At 48.2% G+C, this 19,586-nt stretch overlaps 1 protein-coding gene across 3 annotated transcripts in view, besides 1 other annotated feature; it reads right to left on the reverse strand.

Annotated features, from left to right (window-relative positions):
- STX8 (syntaxin 8) overlaps positions 1–19,586 on the reverse strand; it is a 325,350-nt gene that overhangs the window by 1,506 nt on the left and 304,258 nt on the right. The gene's annotated exons all lie outside the window — the stretch shown is intronic.
- Positions 5,976–6,567: an enhancer, noted in NCBI's record as "H3K27ac-H3K4me1 hESC enhancer chr17:9161269-9161860 (GRCh37/hg19 assembly coordinates)". NCBI's record gives its function as "activates a minimal SCP1, AML or CMV promoter by ChIP-STARR-seq in naive H9 embryonic stem cells {active_cell/tissue: H9 hESC(naive)}" and the evidence as "EXISTENCE:reporter gene assay evidence [ECO:0000049][PMID:30033119]".

Below are 19,586 nucleotides of genomic sequence, written 5' to 3' on the forward strand. Positions count from 1 at the left end.
AACATGGTGAAACCCCATCTCTATTAAAAATATATTTAAAAAAATAGGCCGGGCACGGTGCCTCATGCCTGTAATCCCAGCACTTTGGGAGGCCGAGGCGGGCAGATCATCTGAGGTCAGGAGTTCGAGACCAGCCTGGCTAACATGGTGAAACCCCGTCTCTACTAAAAATATATTTAAAAAATTGGCCGGGCGCAGTGGCTCACGCCTGTAATCCCAGCACTTTGGGAGGCCGAGGCGGGCGGACCATGAGGTCAGGAGATCGAGACCATCCTGGCTAACATGGTGAAACCCCATCTCTACTAAAAGTACAAAAAATTAGCCTGGCGTGGTGGCAGGCGCCTGTAGTCCCACCTACTTGGGAGGCTGAGGCAGGAGAATGGCGTGAACCCGGGAGGCGGAGCTTGCAGTGAGCCGAGATTGCGCCACTGCACTCCAAACTGGGCAACAGAGCAAGACTCTGTCTCAAAAAAAAAAAAAATATTAGCCAGGTGTGGTGGTGGGTGCCTGTAATCCCAGCTACTTGGGAGGCTAAGGCAAGAGAATCGTTTGAACACGGGAGGCGGAGGTTGCAGTGAGCTGAGATCACACCACTGCAATACAGCCTGTGCAACAACAGTGAAACTCTGTCTCAAAAAAAAAAAAAAAAGAAAACGAAAATAAAAAAAAAAACTAGGGCAAGCTTCTTTGTCATCTACCTGTGACTGTGGTTGCATTTTTCTGATATGGGCTCTTTCTCTGATGATCCAATCTTTTGAGAAACGCTTCTCTTGGGGCCCCAAGGTTTCTCCCCCGTCTTCCTGTAGATGAAAACCTCATCCTAGTCTACCTCAAGGCTCTGCCAACTTTGGTTCATGGGCCAAATCTAGCTGTGCTCTGTTTTTGTGCAACCCATGAGCTAACAATGGTTTTTATATTTGTAGAGGGTTGTCAAAAAGGTAAAAGGAGGAGATGTGACACCGTCTGTGGTCTGCACAGCCTAAACCGTTTACGACCTGGCCTCTTCCAGAGGCTTGCTAGCTCCTGCTCTCCATCATCATGATGATGACCCACCTGCAGCATCAGTTCGCCCACTTAGGCGCTGGCCTTCAATGCGCTCTTCATTTCTTTCATCTAGGGATTTCCTTTCTTCCTTGTAAATTCAGCCCTGCATTAACATTTGTGGGTGGGTGGAGTTACACTATTTTACCTCACATTTCAAGATGCTTGCAGCAAGAAGGCAGGGGTAGGGGTGTGTGTGTGTGTGTGTGTGTGTGTGTGTGTGTGTGAATATCTTAGTCCATCTGCAGTGAGAAGGTAGGGATACGGGTGTGTGTGTGTATGCGTATGTGTGTGTATGTGAGAATATCTTAGTCCATCTTCTTGCCAGAAGCAGAAGAACAAATCTTTTCACTGATTTCTGCTCCAGAAACATCTTCAGGTTGACCAAAAGCTCCCCTGGGCAGGAGCTTCACTAGTTCTTGGTTATTCTGGTGCCTGTGTGGTGATCAGCTGAAGACTTGGTCCTGGCTGGGTGAAGGTTTATGTTGCGCAACATGAGGAGAAGATAACGAGAATGAGGAGGCAGGCACAGGCTGGGATGGGGCGAAGGGGCAATCCCTGGCACTCCAGGGCCTGGGCTCACCCTAAGATGACAGGGAGGGGCTGGCAGCTGAGGAGATGAGGGAGAGGATGAGAGGTGTTTTAGGAAGAGGTACTGCTCCTGAAGCTCCAGTGGGATCACAGTTGGGAGGACACTTGGGCCCAGAAGCTCCATGCATCAAGGCAGGCTCCACACTGAGGCTCTGATGGCCTGGAGCAGAGGCCAGTATGAATGACCGTGAATTGTCAAATCAGGGTGATTATGAGAAGAGCGGAGCAAGTGACAAGAACAAAGAAATCAAGAACAACAACTGATTGGGAAGAAGAAAACACACATCTGGTTTTGGTTCATACACCCGGAGCGTGAGGTCCAAGGGAAGAGGCCTCAAGGCATGCGCAGTCACTGCCATCCCTGATTTGGCTCCCTGCAGTGAGGGACTGCTTTCCCCGGTCCCTGCTCCACGATGGAACTACAGCAAGCTTTTCAGAATGTAAAGGAGATCAGGTCACCTCCTTGCTTAAATCCTCCAGTGGCTGAAACTGAGATCCAAACTTTACAGTGGCCAAGGGGGTCTTGCACAGTCTGACCCAGCAACCCTGCAGCCGCACTCTGCGCGCTGTGTTTGAGCCATCCTGGCTGTCTCCGGTGCCCCCAACAGGCTGATGCAGAAGGTAGGGGCCCTGCCTCCCAGCTTCGACACGCGCTATCCTTTCCATCCGGGAGCTCCCCACTCGTGGTCTAGTTAATCCCTCAAACTCAGTGGCATTTTCCCAAAGAACTCTTTGTCATCCTCCAGTTACCTGTGCCCTCTTTGCCCCCCTAAGTTTCCATGGTAACTCTTATTAAATCTTTTTTTTTTTTGAGATGGAGTCTCGCGCCCAGGCTAGAGTGCGGTGACGTGATCTTGGCTCACTGCAGCCTCCGCCTCCTGGGTTCAAGCAATTCTCCTGCTTTAGCCTCCCAAGTAGCGGGGATTACAGGTGCCCACCACTATGCCCGGCTAATTTTTGTATTTTTAGTAGAGACAGGGTTTCACCATGTTGGCCAGGCTGGTCTCGAACTCCTGACCTCAAGTGATTTGCCCTCCTGGGCCTCCCAAAGTGCTGGGATTACAGGCGTGAGCCACCGCGCCCGGCCTTGAATCATTATTTAGGTACTCAGTTACTGTCTGTCTCTCCTGGACACATGAACATCTACACCAGGGACTGTGGGTTCTCGTTCACCGCCATATCCCCCGTACCTAGAACAGAGCCTGGCACAGGAAAGAGGCACACACACACGCGCACGTGTGTGCATGTGTGTGTGTGTGTATAAAACAAATGAGTAAATGTATTGAATTTTTGGAAGGGATAAGAAGAGTCAAGAGAGGCATAGAAGGAGTGGTCAGCAGAGAGGGAGAAGCTGAGAAAATGTGGCAAGAAGGCCAATGAGTAAGAAAATTCAAAAAGTGGCCAATGCCAACCCACAATACTACAGAGACAAGATAGAAGAATGCTCTTCCACAGAAGAGCTGCAGAGACCTTTCATAGTACAGTTTTAGCGCATGGTGGGTGGGTCTAGTGGAACTATTATTAATACAGTGGTGGCTAAGCTGCTAATTTTTCTACCACAGATGCTGTGAATTAGACAAACTGTGCCCCAGGAAAGGCATGACAGGGCACACATTATCTATAAAAAATGAAAATGGGCCAGGCGCTGTGGCTCACGCCTGTAATCCCAGCACTTTGGGAGGCCAAGGCGGGCGGATCATCTGAGGTCAGGAGTTTGAGACCAGCCTGGCCAACACAGAGAAACCACGTCTCTACTAAAAATACAAAAATTAACCGGGCATGGTGGTGCACGCTTGTAGTCCCAGCTACTTGGGAGGCTGAGGCAGGAGAATCACTTGAACTCGGGAGGCGGAGGTTGTGGTGAACTGAGATTGTGCCACTGCACTCCAGCCTGGGCAACAGAGCAAGACTCCATCTCAAAATAAATAAATAAATAAATAAATAAATATATAAATAAATAAATAAATAAATAAATAAATGAAAATGAACTTGAGTGATGGACATCTTGGACAGTAAGCTGATAAGATGTGATAAACTGGGTTCTTGTCCCAAGATGAAAAGGAGGATTTTAGGAGCCATGACAAATAAGGCTTTTATATTTTAAACCCTTTCAGAGCAAACAGGGGGAGACTTTAAACAGGCTTAAGTAAACTGGTATATACTGAGGGTCAACTGAGGAGGTCGTTTTAAGATGGCAGGTGACAGCGATAAGCAAAAGCCAACTGCTGTCTTTTGGATTCTTTGGGTCAAAGAGAAGGTGTTTATCTACCTTAGCACGGCAATCCTTTTTCTTTAAGAAGTTTGGCTTTCTTCGAATGTGATCCCAGCTCTGGCACCTTTCTGAATGGAGTTTCTCTCCTCTGAAGGATGTTTCGGAATGAGTAAGCAGGGATCTTTTTGAAGCCAGGGAAAGCTGAGCCACACCGTTCATGAAACAGTCATGCGTGCCAGGTTTGGCACTAAGTGCTATGGGTGTATTACTTGGTTTAATTCTGCACAGTAAGTAACCCTCATCTCTGTTTTATATCTGAGGAAGCTGGGGTTCTGGAAGGTGAACTCTCCTACCTAAGGCCCTCTGGCGGGTAAGAGGAAGAACTAGAATTGGAATCCAGGTGGGTAGGACCCCTCTGCCCACACGCTCACCCTTGTCTACACCAGTGGAGCTTGAGTGGAGGCATCCTGATTCGAGACAGTGTGGGGGTCCCTCGGGGAGAGAGGCTCAGACTCACTGGGGTTGAAACACCGGGATCAAGAGTTTCTTCTCTTTTCATCCTCTTCTCTTTCTCCCTCCCTCCTTCCCTTCCTTAACGTTTTATGATGGAAAATTTTAAACATATACAAAAGCAGACCGAAGGGCACGCAGAACAGTGATGAGCCCATCCGTCAGCTTTCGCAAGGATCCATTCATGGCCTGTCTGGCTTTATGCAAACCCTCACCTGCTCCCTGTCTCCTGCATATTATTTTGAAACAAATTCCAGACATAGGTCATCTACAAATATTTCAGTAAGTATCACTAAAAGGCACCATTAAAAAGACACACACACTCCCCCACTACCCACATAACCACAGAGGGTCTGACGGTTCCTAAAGGCAGAGGCAGGGAAGAGCTGGCAACTCTTCTGATGTAGGAAGGTGGCTCCAGTTTCAGGGGCGCAGCCGACCCCCCTGCCGGAGGGACATGGGACCTCACATCGTACTCGGTCACGTGTGAAAAGCAGAACTTCCTTCTTCTGCCTCAGAATAGTTCTTAAACCTCAGGGGGGTCTACTCATCCATTCCCCCAGCTAAGGAAATGTTTGACATTTCAGAACAAGGAAAGACAGTTGAACTTCTGGGAGGCTGCCAACTTCTTAAACAATGAATGCTCTCTGCCCCCAACCCTAGCACAGAACACCTGCTGCGGCTCCTGACTTCGGGATCGTTTCTCTGCGCTTCACTCAGCTCCTGCCCTGGGCCCGCTGGCACCTGGCGAGGCAGATTTTCCCTTCCAATACTCAAGAGTCCCTTTCAGGGGCAGGCATGGGATGCCAGGGTTACAAGAGTGGAAAAAAATGTCCATTTCCTTTGGTCAGTTTACCAGATGAGTATTACTCAACCACTTACAATATTTACAAGTCCAGCTCATGGCAATTAAAAAAAGATGTAAGAAAACAAACTCCTTTTCAAACTGGGAGAGGATATTAAACACAGTCTCTCAGGAATGGTGTTTTCTGAAGACTCGTCATCTGGAGTCATGGTCCATACTTTTTTCCAGTGAAACACTGGAAACGAGCAAAATACGGAGCTTGTGCTGCCAACGCCCCTGCCACAAGTTGGGTGTAGGTAACAGCTCTCAGTGCTTACTGACATGGAGGAGGAGGGGAAGGAGGAGAAAGAATCTGGAGGCTGACTTTTCGAGAGAGTGTGGATCTCTGTGTTGGCCACTTCTGCCCTGTAGCTGCAGGGGAACGTGGCAAGTAGGCTGATGGGAAAGCAAGAGGCAGGGAGGGGTGAAGGGCGCTTTATCCAGGAGTCTTTTTATCTGGTTTTGTTGCAAGGAAAGCCGCCTTAGCTGCCTACTACTATTTTGGTTGTCTTGAACCAAAACACATATTCTGGCCAGGCGTGGTGACTTATGCCTGTAACCCCAGCACTTTGGGAGGCCAAGGCGAGTGGATCACCTGAGGTCAGGAGATTGAGACCAGCCTGGCCAGCATGGCCAAACCCCGTCTCTACTAAAAAATGCAAAAATTAGCCGGGCGTGATGGCAGGTGCCTGTAATCCCAGCTACTTGGGAGGCTGAGGCTGGAGAATCACTTGAACCCGGGAGGAGGAGGTTGCGGTGAGCTGAGATTGCGCCACTGCACTCCAACCTGGGTGACAGAGCGAGATTTTGTTTAAAACAAAAACAAAAACAAAAAAAGCATATTCTTTTTGTTTGCCTCGCTTTTCACACCAGAAGAGTTAGGCCAACTGGCAACCCACACGTAGCTACTAAACTTAAAGATGAACAGAGGACACTTCTTAGGGACAATTCCTAAAGTTTGTTTTATTTTTTTGGCAGTTGTGCCTGTCAATAGGTGACATTTGCTTATGTATTAACCAGTGATCAGTCTCACTGTTCAAACAGACTTTTCACGGCAGACTCCTGAGCTGAGGTGGGGAATAAGCAGGAGAAGAGACAAAACTGGAATATTTATCTTCAAAAGTTCATGTAAATGTTCCCTTTAATCCCACGACTGGGCAAATACACGAAGAAAAGAGTAGACGCCGTGCAGAGAAGGTGAGCGTATTTACATTCTGATTTCCAGATTGAGAGGCTGGAGAATGGTGGCTATGCTTGAGGTCTCTGCCCAGACCTGCCCACTCCAGGGGCTGTGTGTGCTCTGCTGGGGGACCCAGAGTGTGACACTAGCAGCCTTCCTACAGCCGCTGCTCAGCTGCGCCAGGGGAAACCAGGCACTGGGGGTGTGGAGAGGAGGACCTACCTGCCTCTGATCACACCCCTCTTGAATCTATCTTACCCCACAGTTCTACATTTTAATTTCCGCCGAATAATGCTTTCATTAAAACACTGGGCAAAAGTCATCTCTGGTTTTCTGAGTTTGTTTTGTTCTTAGCCTGGCATCCAACTCAACTCTGCAGGTTTTTCTTTCTCTGTATTGTGGGCCAGGCTTCCTCTGTGGCTCCAGGGGGTTGCATCTGACTCATCAATGGAGTCTCTGCCCGCTCCCCTCTGAGTGTAGCCTCAGCCCATTTTCCACCCGCCCCAGGGCAGGGCCGAAGCCTTGAAGGCTCATCCTCTGTATTTCATGTCCTCCATGAAGACTGCTCAGCCCGTACACAGCCAGCTTGTCCTGGAATCCGAGGGTATCTGCAGCAAGGCCATTGCTCTTAAATGACTCCCTTCCACCTTTGGTTCTTTTTTTATTAATAATTCCTTCCTCAGGCCATAGAATCTCCAAAAACAGATCAATGCAGTCTGGTGCGGTGGAAGGGGTACTGATTTTACAGTCAAGAAGACCTGACTTCTAATCTGCCACTGGTATACTATGACACGTTGGGAAAGTTTAACTCTGGAGCTCAGTTCTACCATCTCTGAAACAAGACTGAAAAATCCTGACTTCACAGGCTTGTTGTGAGGATTTCGGAAGATACAGTACATGAAACTTCTAGAACATAACTGGCACTCAATAAATGGTAACTCTCCCAACAATAATTATTACTCCTCGTAATAATTACACCCTGCCTGAAACGGGTGCCTAGTGGTCGCAGGTGCTCCGTAAATGTCCTGCAACAGAGCCAGTCTCTCAGCTTAACAACAGAAATCAAATGTCACTCTCTCCAAAAGAGAAGGAAGAGTAGCAAAAACAGAGGAACACCTGGGTGGCATTTAGTGTAGAAACAGAGGGAGCAATTCTCTCCGAGGCCCGGCGGTGATGAGGGCGTCCGGGAAAGGTTGGAAGTTCAGGGTGGAATGTCTGGCAGCCTCTGTGTCAGTTATTAGCTACAGGAAGGGCAGCTGTGCTGGGCGGAATGCTGGCGGCGGTCAGCAGGCAGGCAGAACACAGCCAAGTGGACACCAGGTGAGAGGAACTGTGAAAGGCCCAGACTTTTTAAAAGCCAGTGAGGAAGTGGAGGTCAGAGCAGGGGTCACAGGACGGGGTCACAGGCAGGAGGAGGAGAAGGTTAAAGCAAACCACAAGGAGCACCCGACTTTATAACACATTCAGCTACGCGGGAGAAAAGGTGGAGAGGAACCCAGGGGCCCCTAGGGGAGCCTGTGCGTCTGGCCATGCTGCATAAATAACAATAATAATAATGACGATGAAAATAATAGTCATAGTGTCCGGGCATGGTGGCTAACGCCTGTAATCCCAGCACTTTGGGAGGTCACGGCGGGTGGATTGCATGAGCCCAGGAGTTCAAGACTAGCCCGGGCAACATGGTGGAAACCTGTCTCTAATTTAAATTTTAAAAAAGAAAAAGAATAATATTAATAGTAGTAGTGTCACAAGAACAGAAGTCAAGAATAAAGCCTGGGCAACAATGCGAGATCCCACCTCTACAAAGAGTATTTTTAAATTAGCTGGCTGTGGTGATGTGTGGCTGTAATCCCAGCTACTCGGGAGGCTGTGGTGGGAGGACTGCTGGAGCCCAGGAGTTCGAGGCTGCAGTGAGCTGTGATTGCACCACTGCACCTCAGCCTGGGTGACAGAGTGAGACCCTGTCTCTTAAAAGAAAAGTCAAGAAGGCCGGGCGCGGTGGCTCACACCTGTAATCCCAGCAATTTGGGAGGCCAAGGCGGGCGGATCCCCTGAGGCCGGGAGTTTGAGACCAGCCGGGCCAACATGGTGAAACCCTGTCTCTACTAAAAATACAAAAATTAGCCAGGCGTGGTGGTGCACGCCTGTAATCCCACCTACTCAGGAGGCTGAGGCAGGAAAATTGCTTCAACTCGGGAGGCGGAGGTTGCAGTGAGCCGAGATCGTGCCACTGCACTCTAGCCTGGGCAACAGAGTGAGACTCCGTCTCAGAAAAACAAACAAACAAACAAACAAACAAACAACTGTGGTCTTTTGGGGTGGCTCTTTAGAGTGGCCAGGCCAGTGTCCCCCATGTGCCTGGGTGGGTTTGTGCTGAGGCAACACTGGGAAGAGAGAGGCACCTGGCACCCTCCTCACCCTGGAAACTCAGCCCTCTCCCCAGAAGGCCAGGCCCCTACCTGGAGAGAATTCACTCCCAGCCTGAGCTGGTGCCCAGCACCGGGCTGATGAGGCACTGCTCTGCAGGAACACAGAAACGTGGAAAGAATCAACTGGAAAGAAGGCAGCAACTGTCGGAAAAGAGAACGGTGTGAAGAGAGACATCTGGGGGCCAGAGGGAGCAAGAGAATCAGGAGAAGGTGGCCTGGAAGGGGTGGGGGTTGGGATGAGAGAAAAAAAGGACTGGTCTAGAAGCAGGAAATTAAAAGGAATGAAGACTGCAGGTGACGGGGCAGAGAGCTGGACGGCAGCCTAGTGAAAGGCAGGTTCCTGGGATCTGGGGTCTAGGATCCAGGCATGAGCACCTGGCTGGGCGTCAGGTGGCCGTGGAGCAGCAGTCACGGCCACAGGACTCTGGTGAGGCCGCCGCTTGGTCAGTGGAGACCGCATGTGAGACCTCACGGCCCGGCCAGGGCGAGTCAGGTCAGAGTGGCTGGTGAGGCTGTCCCAGTGCTGAATAGCAGCACTGCCCTGGTAAGATTTACCCAAGAGACTTAGACTCACCCACACTAGAACTGATCTCTTATCTGTTGAGTGCCTACTGTGTGTCGGGTCCAATGGGTGCAAAGACGTATACCTGGCTCTTCCTGGGTCTGCGGGTCTCATGAGAAAGGCAGAAAAATCAACCCTATCTCTACCCACGCCCAACACAAACACGAAACTCTGCAGATGATAGCCGTTCCTTAGAGGGAGTGTGTAAAAACTCTGCCGCTATTGTCGCTTCCTGCACAGAAAGTGCTGAATAGTTTGTAGGCCCCATCTGTGTTCTTAAGGTGTTATTCATTTCCCTTCCCTGAAATAAGCTCAGCTCAGCAACTGCCACAAGTCAAGGGCAGAATTCAATTGTAAATAGATAATCCTTCATATCAGCCACCAAGAGCAGCAGGTTAGGAGTTGTCAAGCCAATAATTTAATGCCAATTCTCTGGCACGTCAATATTTGCTAAGAAATATCCCTTCATTGTGCTGTGTGTTACCCCTGGGAATGTGAATCTGTCTGGAGTCTGGCAGAAATTCAAGTGTCTTTGAAAAGACAGTCAGGAACTCTGTTACGGATATCTTGTTTTGACAATTCCCTCTTGACTGTCGGAAGATTCCTGCAAGGTTCCAGTCAGGCTGTGGATTCGGCATTACAAACCCCTCCGTTTGTCCTATTTGGATACTTTACCTGGCACCAATTAGGGACACCTGGCAGGGCGACACCAGGGTATTACTACCAAAGTTCTACAAAGGCAGGGCAGAGAGGCATCGCTGCTACCATAAGGCTTTGTCAATACACCAAATGCTTATCTCATTTGTTAAAAGGAAATCATTTGACCAACACGCAAAAGACTATGGGGTAGATCTGAATTGAGCCCTGCGTTCCATACATCGAAACAACATATTCCTGGGGTGGCCCAGTAGCCGTGTCTGTTCAACTTAACCCTGCCTCCATACGCACAGCTGATGCAACAGACCTCAAGTGAGGCCAACAAGGTTCTCTTCTCCAGGGATTTTGGATTTTGAACTGAGCACAATTGGGGTTCAGTCACAGTAATGGTAACACTCGAGGGGTGGGCCACAAACTTAGCTCGGGAGGTCCCAGGCCCTGCCTTTGCTCAGACTTGTCTTTATACTTGGTTGGCTCAATCATCCCTCGGGTTCCTGCAAATAACTCAACATCACTCAAATAAATTACATGTTTTTTGTTTCTTTGTTTTTTGGTGTTTTTTGTTTTTTTTGTTTTGTTTTGTTTTTTTGTTTTTTTTGAGACAGAGTCTTGCTCTGTCGCCAGGCTAGAGTGCAGTGGCGAGATCTCGGCTCACTGCAGCCTCCGCCTCCCAGGTTCAAGCAATTCTCCTGCCTCAGCCTCCCGAGTAGCTGGGACTACAGGTGCGTGCCAACATGCCCGGCTAATTTTTGTATTTTTAGTAGACACAGGGTTTCACCATGTTGGCCAGGATGGTCTTGATCTCCAGATCTTGTGATCCACCTGCCTCCCAAAGTGGTAGGATACAGGCATGAGCCACCACGCTCGGCCACAAATTACATGTTTTTTAACCTAAACGAGCCAAAGTCATCTCTGCTTATTTGCAACCAAGATCTTTTAGCAGAGTGATCAGCAAAAATCACCAGTTGTGTCTAGTTAATTGGAAAAACATAAAAGTCATATTAGCATGCTTTTGCTTTACTACTTTAGTCTTGAAAGGATAGTCCCAAGATGTTGCCTCTGAGGACACCCCGTCTGGGTTGCATCTCCTTACTCTGAAGGGGCTAAAGTCCCAACAGAAATATCTGTTGACTGCACTCCAGCCTGGGTGACAGAGTGAGATCCTGTCTCTAAAAAATAAGCAAAAAGGGACGGGTGCGTGCGGTGGCTCACACCTGTAATCCCAGCACTTTGGGAGGCTGAGGAGGGTGGATTACCTGAGGTCGGGAGTTCGAGACCAGCCTGACCAAAATGGAGAAACCCCATCCTCTACTAAAAATACAAAAAAATTAGCCGGGCATGGTGGCACATGCCTGTAATCCCAGCTACTTGGGAGGCTGAGGCAGGAGATCGCTTGAACCTGGGAGGCGGAGGTTGCAGTGAGCCGAGATCGCGCCATTGCACTCCAGCCTGGGTAACAAGAATGAAACTCCGTCTCATATGGAATTCTAATATAAGTAGTATCTAATGACTAGCTTTTTTCACTTAATTTGTCTTAAATGTCTTTCACAGAGACCTACCTTTAATCTTTTTAGTGGCTGCAGACTATTTTATACCTTAATTTGTTCAAAAGATACCCTGTTACTAGACTTTGAGGTTATTTCAAAATTTTTGCTATGAAAAGGAATGCTGCAGTAAACATCTTTGAACATAAACCTTTGTGCACGTGTACACGAATTTCTGTAGGATAGATTCCTACATATGGAATCCTGGGGCAAAGAGTATGTGCATTTTTTATTTTGATAGTCTCGCTAATTGTATTTTCTGACGGCATTTCTCTCTCCCAAACCACATACTCTTCATATGATGTGACTTTGACATTGCTCTCATCAAGAGGTAGGACCTGGGTCCCCTCCCCTTGAACCTGATAAGCCCTTTGTGACTACCTCACCAACAGAATATGGCAGAAGTGACACTCTGTGACTTTCGACTCTGGGTCATAAAGATTACACACCCTTCCACCTTGCTCCTTCAGGATAGTCACCATGTGAGTAGTTCAACTGCTAGAAGGCTGCCATGCTGCAAGGAAGCCCAATTAGTCCAAATGGAGAGACCACATGGAAGGACCCTGAGATCATGAGAAGACAGAGAAAAGAGATGCCCAGCCAGCCCCACTGGGTTCCAGCTTCACCACTATACTGACTATATTACAACTGCATGAAAATCTTCAGCCAGAGCCAGGCAGCAGAGCCCTTTTCAAATTCCTAACCCACAGAATTGTGAAGTGTAGCAAAACAATTGTTTTACATTGCCAAATTTGGGGTGATCTTTTACCTTTTTTGAGACAGGGTCTTACTCTGTCGCCCAGGCTGGAGTGCAGTGGCATGGTCACGGCTCACTGTAGCCTCCACCTTCTGAGCTCAAGTGATCCCCCCACGTCAGCCTCCTGAGAAGATGGGACCACATGTGCATGCCACCATACTTGGATAATTTTTAAATTTTGTGTAGAGATGAGGTCTCCCTGTGTTCCCAGGGCTGGTCTCAAACTCCTGGGCTCAAGCAATCCTCCCTCCTCGACCTCCCAAAGTTCTGTGATTACAGGCATGAGCCACTGCACCCAGCCTGATTTTTTAAACACAGCAATAGATAACCAGAATGGGTAGGTTCTGCCAAACTGCAAACAACAATTCTCAGTAGTAATATAAGAACAAGAAGGCAAATCCTTTTCTGGGCATTTCTAGTGAACTAGTAATGCTTCATGTGGTTTTAAATTTTCAAGTAGAAAAAGCATTTAAAACAATATGCATATATCATAGTAACTTCGGAAAGTAAAGAAGATGAGAAAAGAAAGGCCAGGTGCAGTGGCTCACGCCTGTAATCCCAGTACTTTGGGAGGCTGAGGTGGGAGGATCTCTTGGGCCCAGGAGTTTGAGACCAGCCTAGGCTCCATAGGGAGACCTCATCTCTACAAAAAAAATAAGAATAAAATTACCTAGGTGTGATGGCACACACCTGTGGTCCCAGGTACTCAGGAGGCTAAGGTGGGAGGATCACTTGAGTTCAGGAGGTAGAGGTTACAGTGAGCCATGATTGTGCCACTGCACTCCAGCCTGGGTGAGAGAACAAGACCCAGTCTGAAAAGAAAAAAAAAAAAAAAAAAAAGCTGTCACCTTCCCAAATTCCAAACTTTTCTCTTTCACGGTCACATATCCTATTATTTTACAAGCAATCTTTGATTAATACTATAGATGTCCTAAAGAGTCAAAGTGAATATGAGATGGGCTCCAGTTCCAGGGCAAGAGGTTTCTGGGGCCCAGATTGGGGCAGGAGAGCTCACCCTCTTGAAACAAAGCTAACAAGAACACTCTGGATGGGGCACGCTAGTCGCTTAGAGCCTTCCCACTGGGGATCCCTCCTTTCCTGGGCACACTGTGTATGGGCCCACTGGGGGCCTGGCTCAGGCAGGTCCCGGGCAAATGCACATTGCCCCTGCCACCACAGTGCTTCTAACAAGAGCCATGCCCGGCACCATTACTGGCGCTAGGCACTTGCTATCCACTTTGTATACATTATATACGTTACACATTGAGCAGCTCAATACACGTTTACTCAACAAATGAAACAGAAGGTCCTCACTCCTGACGTGGTTGGGAAAGCAGAAATAACACTGATATCCTCTGTGTCCTGCATCTCTGTTGTGGCTTTTGATTTAACACATGTTGCCTGAGCACCTGCCAGGCACTGTTCTAGGCACTGGGGCTGCAACAATGAACCAAACAGACAAAAAGCTCTGCCCTCACCAAACTGACGTCCTAGTGTGTGTTTGTTGGGGGCGCTGGAGGGGGGCTTCAGTGTGTGAAGACAGACAAAAACCCAGATCAGTAACTAATGTAGTGGACTAGAAGGCGGTAAGTGCTAGAAAGAAAATCCAGCTCCTCTTCCCCTATTGCTTATCATACGGGGTGGCTGAAAGGCACACACCCCCTTTCCCTCGAGTCCTAGGGATACCAGGGAGGGAGTGCTGATATGGTCCATAAACCAGACATCCTAGAGTGGGATTTGGAAACATTGCGGGTAAGACTAGGGTGCCTTCCTACACGCCATCAGGAAACTGCCATCCTTAAACGTTAATAAGATGTAGGCTTAGAAATAACACATTACAAAAGTTGGTTGGAATGAAGGGTGACGTAATGACAACTGGAAACACAGAGGGGTGTTATTATGGAGTGGAGAAAAAGGAGATTGGAGAGGAAGAAGTTGGCAGTGGGTGCCAGCACTTTCCAGAACAGGGGTGCCCCAGCCAGCGCACCGGAGCCTGCTTGGTCTGTGAGGACATGGGGTCCTTTCTGAAGTGAGAAGCAGTGAGCCACCTCCTGGACAGCAGCTCTTCCTCAGATGGCCCTTCTGGACTATTCTATGCCCAGATGAGAAGTGTGCTTCTGAAACTGATGACGCTTGCCTGTATTAGCGGCCGTTTTACTTCAGCGCCGTGCTGGCTGAGAGCTGCAAAGTGTTGGCCACCAGCTGGTGGCTGAAATCAAGAGGAAGCCAGGTCACGGTGGTGGAAGTAGGATGAAATAGTAGACACACGATGTCACCAAGAGTGTAGAAGAATTCAGGTAAATGCATTTCCAGTAAGGTGGGATCACTAGTGCCGCTTCTGGTGCTCTGGGTGGAGAGCCACTCTGTCATCCTGGAGGCTACTTTGGCCCCCAACTCATCTCCACATTCCTCTGGCCTCCAAGGTGACATGGACTATATATAACCAAGGGCCACGGTGGGGAGGGCAGAAGAAATATGACTGTTTAAGGGCAGTGGGAGAAAAGAAAAATAAGGGGCTGATGAGAGAGCGGCCAGACGTGGGCCTTTTGCTTTCAGCCAAGTCTTTTCCCAAGTAACCACAACATTTGTCATAGTTATTCAGTGTGGCTCTGAAGCCTGTCCCCTTTGTCGGGGCAGAAAAAATGGGCTCTCCTGTGTTCAAAAGGTCATCTCTACTTTCAAGTGGTCAACATTCCGCAGTCTGAAGCTCCCTGGCCCACTAGCTTCCAGTACTGTGTGTCACTTCCCACGTATGCGGCAAAATGACAGAGTGTGTGAAAGGGTGAACGCGTGTGTGAGTTCAGGGTTTCCCTCTTTGGAAGCTGTATGGCATAAGAGCTGAAACACCATGGGCTGCGAGGGCAGACTGCACGTGTTCAGACCATGGCACTGTCATTTGAGTAAGGGACCCAATCCTCTATGCCGAAAAGTGGGAGAATAATAACCCTCCACTCTCAGAGCCATCATGGAGACAAAAAGAGAGAAAATGCTGAGTGCCAAGCATACTACCCGGCTTATGGTACCTTCTCAACTGAGATTAGCTACTAGTCTCACCTGCTGGAAATTGTTCTTGCTACCAACGTGGCATTCCTGATCTCCAATCTTTGGATAGAAAGCGCTATGACCCTTCCCCATGTGTGATGGCCTTCAGTGCTCAATGCTGCCCATATCCCCCGTGTTGTGTGACACCACAGCACGAGTGAGACCTCTGAGCTGAACGCAGCAGCCTCCTGCCATCGGGCGCAACTACTCTCAGTACAACCAAACATGGCTGCCAGGCTTTTCTTGAAAACCTTCTCTAGCTCACTCTACAGACTCTATCATGAAAACAGACTTTGAGATTTATGCACTCAAAAAATCCTCCAACAGCCTGTATACCTATATGTATAAAAATGCTTAAATTCACCAGGCACAGTGGCTCATGCCTGTAATCCCAGCACTTTGGGAGCCAGAGGCAGGTGGATCATCTGAGGTCAGGAGTTCAAGACCAGCATGGCCAACATGGTGAAATCCCATCTCTACTAAAAATACGAAAGAATTAGCTGGGCGTGGTGGTGGGTGCCTGTAATCTCAGCTGCTCAGGAGGCTGAGGCAGGAGAATCACTTGAACCCGGGAGGCGGAGGTTGCAGTGAGCTGAGATCGTGCCATTGCACTCCAGCCTGGGGAACAAGAGTGAAACTCTGCCTAAAAAGAAAAAAAAAAAAAAAAAAGCTTAAATTAAGAGCATTTCAATGAAAGGCCATTCAGATTTGTTCTCACGGAAGGGATATGCATCTTCTACCCAGACCCTCCCATATGCTCTCCTCTCTAGGCCTTGGAACCCTAATTTAAGGATATTGCTGCAGTGAGATGCTTAATGGCAGAACTAGGGCGCAACCAACTCAGCACACTGGTCAACTGCTAACCTTTCACTAGGAGCAACACGAGAGCCTCAGAGTTGTGAGCCCTGTGGGCACCATGAAGATTGGTGGAGTAAGAACAAAAAAAAAAAAAAAGAGAGAGAGAGAGACTTCAAAGTTGCTCTACACTGGATCGTGGAAAAGGAGCCTCTTACCAAAAGTGGCAGCGGGGCTTAGAGTTTGATCTAGGAAATACACAAGAGCAAAGGGGCAGTCAGGCTGCAGAGCTCTGACCCCGAGCACATGGTATGCAAACAGGAGTATTCACACTCTGCAGTGCAAGAGCCTGTCCTTCATCTTGGGGGATGAGGCCGCAGTGATGTCCCCCCGATTCAGTACTATCCCCAAACAATTCACCACCCTAAAGACGTCCTCCTGTGAACAGCAGATTATCTGAGGATCCCTAAAAGTGGTCCTTCACATAGGGAGGCTGCCATTTTCGGAGTTGGCTGTTAGTGTGGCAGCAAACAGCTGGCATTCCTAAGTAAAAACTCAGAGCCAGAACTGGTGCTCTTCAACCCCGACTCAGCTCTGAGACACAGACCTGCAGGCAATGTGGGCAGATTCAACAATGTCACTACTGAGCCTACTGAAAACAAGTGGACAAGATCCCAAGCCATCAATTCTAGAACATGGTTGGCGTAAAAGCTGTTGTGCATGGATTCTATCAGCAAGAAGGATCAGTAGAAGTATTTGAGGCCAGGCCGGGTGCAGTGGCTCACGCCTGTAATCCCAGCACTTTGGGAGGCTGAGGCGGGCGGATCATGAAGTCAGCAGATCGAGACCATCCTGGCTAAAACGGTGAAACCCCGTCTCTACTAAAAATACAAAAAATTAGCTGGGCATGGTGGCGGGCGCCTGTAGTCCCAGCTACTCGGGAGGCTGAGGCAGGAGAATGGCGTGAACCCGGGAGGCAGAGCTTGCAGTGAGCCGAGATTGCGCCACTGCACTCCAGCCTGGGCGATAGAGCAAGACTCCGTCTCAAAAAAAAAAAAAAAAAGAAGTATTTGAGGCCCAAGGAGTCACTGTGGCAGAGTGGAAAGACTGGGAAATGATTGCATCTGGAGCGTCACTTCTGAGGATAAGGTGATTGGGGTACACGTCCTTCTCCTCTCCCTTTCCCTTAAGACGCTCCAGCGTAAGGGCTTAAACAGACCCTCAAGACACCGTCCTGGAAAGAGGCAGATTGATGGCCACAGCTGAGTGTCAGAGGTTACATATTAGCATGTTCAAGCCTATACCAGGGACGTGTGTATCACATGCCATGCAAAGAACACAAAATATCTGCCCTTCCAATGTCTGCTGCTAGTGCAAATAATAAAAGGTGTTTGAGGATAATATTAAAATGATGTCATCACCTTCTGCTTATCCACTCTTCTGGAAAAAAGTAAGATAGACAACCCAAAAGGTCAGATTTGGCTTTGCAATATTGGCTGGCTTATATTAAACATGGTCTGTCAGAGATTTCAGAAGTCATTTCAAAGCAACATTAAAAAGTTGAATTATGACACATTCCTAACGAAATGATCCAGTTTTCCCACCTTGGCCTCCCACTCCGAGCATGCCACACTCTCTCACACCTCTGTGCCTTGGCAGGGATCGTTCACACTGCTTTGGGGCCCTCTGCCAGCTTCTCTGCACCCAGCACACCAGCACTAGCTTTAGGCCTCAGCTTGAAAACACCCGCTCCTCAGGGACACCTCCTCCCCCATGCCCAGGGTAATCCTAGGATTGCTTTTCTATGCTGCTTCTGTATACTAAACACATGCGGTACAGAAATTAACATGTTATTTGGTTAAACTAACAATTAATTGGATTCATGATTTACCTTCCCCGATGGCCCATAAATTCTTTGGGGTTAAATAACAGGCCGTGTGTTTCCAATGTCTGTGTCTCCTCTCGTGCCTAGCACAGAGCTCACATAATACATATGCAACATATATTTATGTTTTTGTTGATTGGATAGCAGCTCATAGCTTAGACTCAAATATCTTAATACCTGGAATATGAGCAGTCAGCAGTAGGAATTTCAAAGGACTTTCTTTTTTCTTTTCTTTTTGAGATGGAGTCTCGCTCTGTCGCCAAGGCTGGAGTGCAGTGGCGCGATCTCAGCTCACTGCAAGCACCGCCGTCTCCTGGGTTCACGCCATTCTCCTCCCTCAGCCTCCCAAGTAGCTGGGACTACAGGTGCCCGCCACCACGCCCGGCTAATTTTTTTTTTTTGTATTTTTTAGTAGAGACAGGGTCTCACCATGTTAGCCAGGAATGGTCTGATCTCCTGACCTTGTGATCTGCCCACCTCGGCCTCCCAAAGTGCTGGGATTACAGGCGTGAGCAACCGTGCCCAGTCTCAAAGGACTTTCTTACTTGATGGTAGTTAACATGGGAATATTCCAGCAGCTAGAACAGTACTTGGCACATAGTAAGTGCTCAGTAAATATGTGTTAAAGAAATGAATGAATGAGTGAAGAAATGAACGAATGAAAGCATACAAATTATCAATAGAATAGGTAATCAAGGAGTAGTGGTTTTAAAGAACTGTAAAGCATTCCAGTAAAGTAAGTCCAGTTGGTATTGCTAAATTCAAAATCAATATATTCTCCATTAGTGATATGAATTTAAAATTCTAGGAGAATATGTTCTGTATTTACTTTGCAATTAAATGAACAGAGTTGCATTGTAGTGAAATGATGGGATTTTACCAGATGCTCATGGGTTCCTATCACAGATGATTTTAGACTCACAATTTCAGACAACTGGGCCCATTTTGTATTGAATCAAATCGCCTCAGTTCATGTTTCATTCATTCCTTGTAACTTTTTGTCACCCTCTATTGGGAGACATTCTCAAGACATTACCAAAAATCACCTAACGACAGAAATGTTTGTGTTTACAGCATGGCAACTCACAGTGTGACGTGGGACCAGGAGCACAGATCACTGAAGAGACTGTTAGAAATGCAACTTCAGGCTGGACGTAGTGGCTCATGCCTGTAATCCCAAAACTTTGGGAGGCCGAAGCGGGCGGATCACTTGAGGTCATGAGTTTGAGACCAGCCTGGCCAACATGGTGAAACTTCGTCTCTACTAAAAATACAAAAATTAGCTGGGCGTGATGGCATGTGCCTGTAATCCCAATTACTCAGGTGGCTGAAGGATGAGAATCGCTTGAACCCAGGAAGCGGACGTTGCAGTGAGCCGAGATGCGCCTTTGCACTCTAGCCTGGGTGACAGAGTGAGACCCTGTCTCAAAAAAGAAAGAAATGCGGCCGGGCGTGGTGGCTCACGCCTGTAATCCCAGCACTTTGGGAGGCCGAAGTGGGTGGATCACGAAGTCAAGAGATCGAGACCATCCTGGCC

The sequence above is a fragment of the Homo sapiens genome, chromosome 17, assembly GCF_000001405.40.
Source record: "Homo sapiens chromosome 17, GRCh38.p14 Primary Assembly".
NCBI classification, from domain to species: domain Eukaryota; kingdom Metazoa; phylum Chordata; class Mammalia; order Primates; family Hominidae; genus Homo; species Homo sapiens.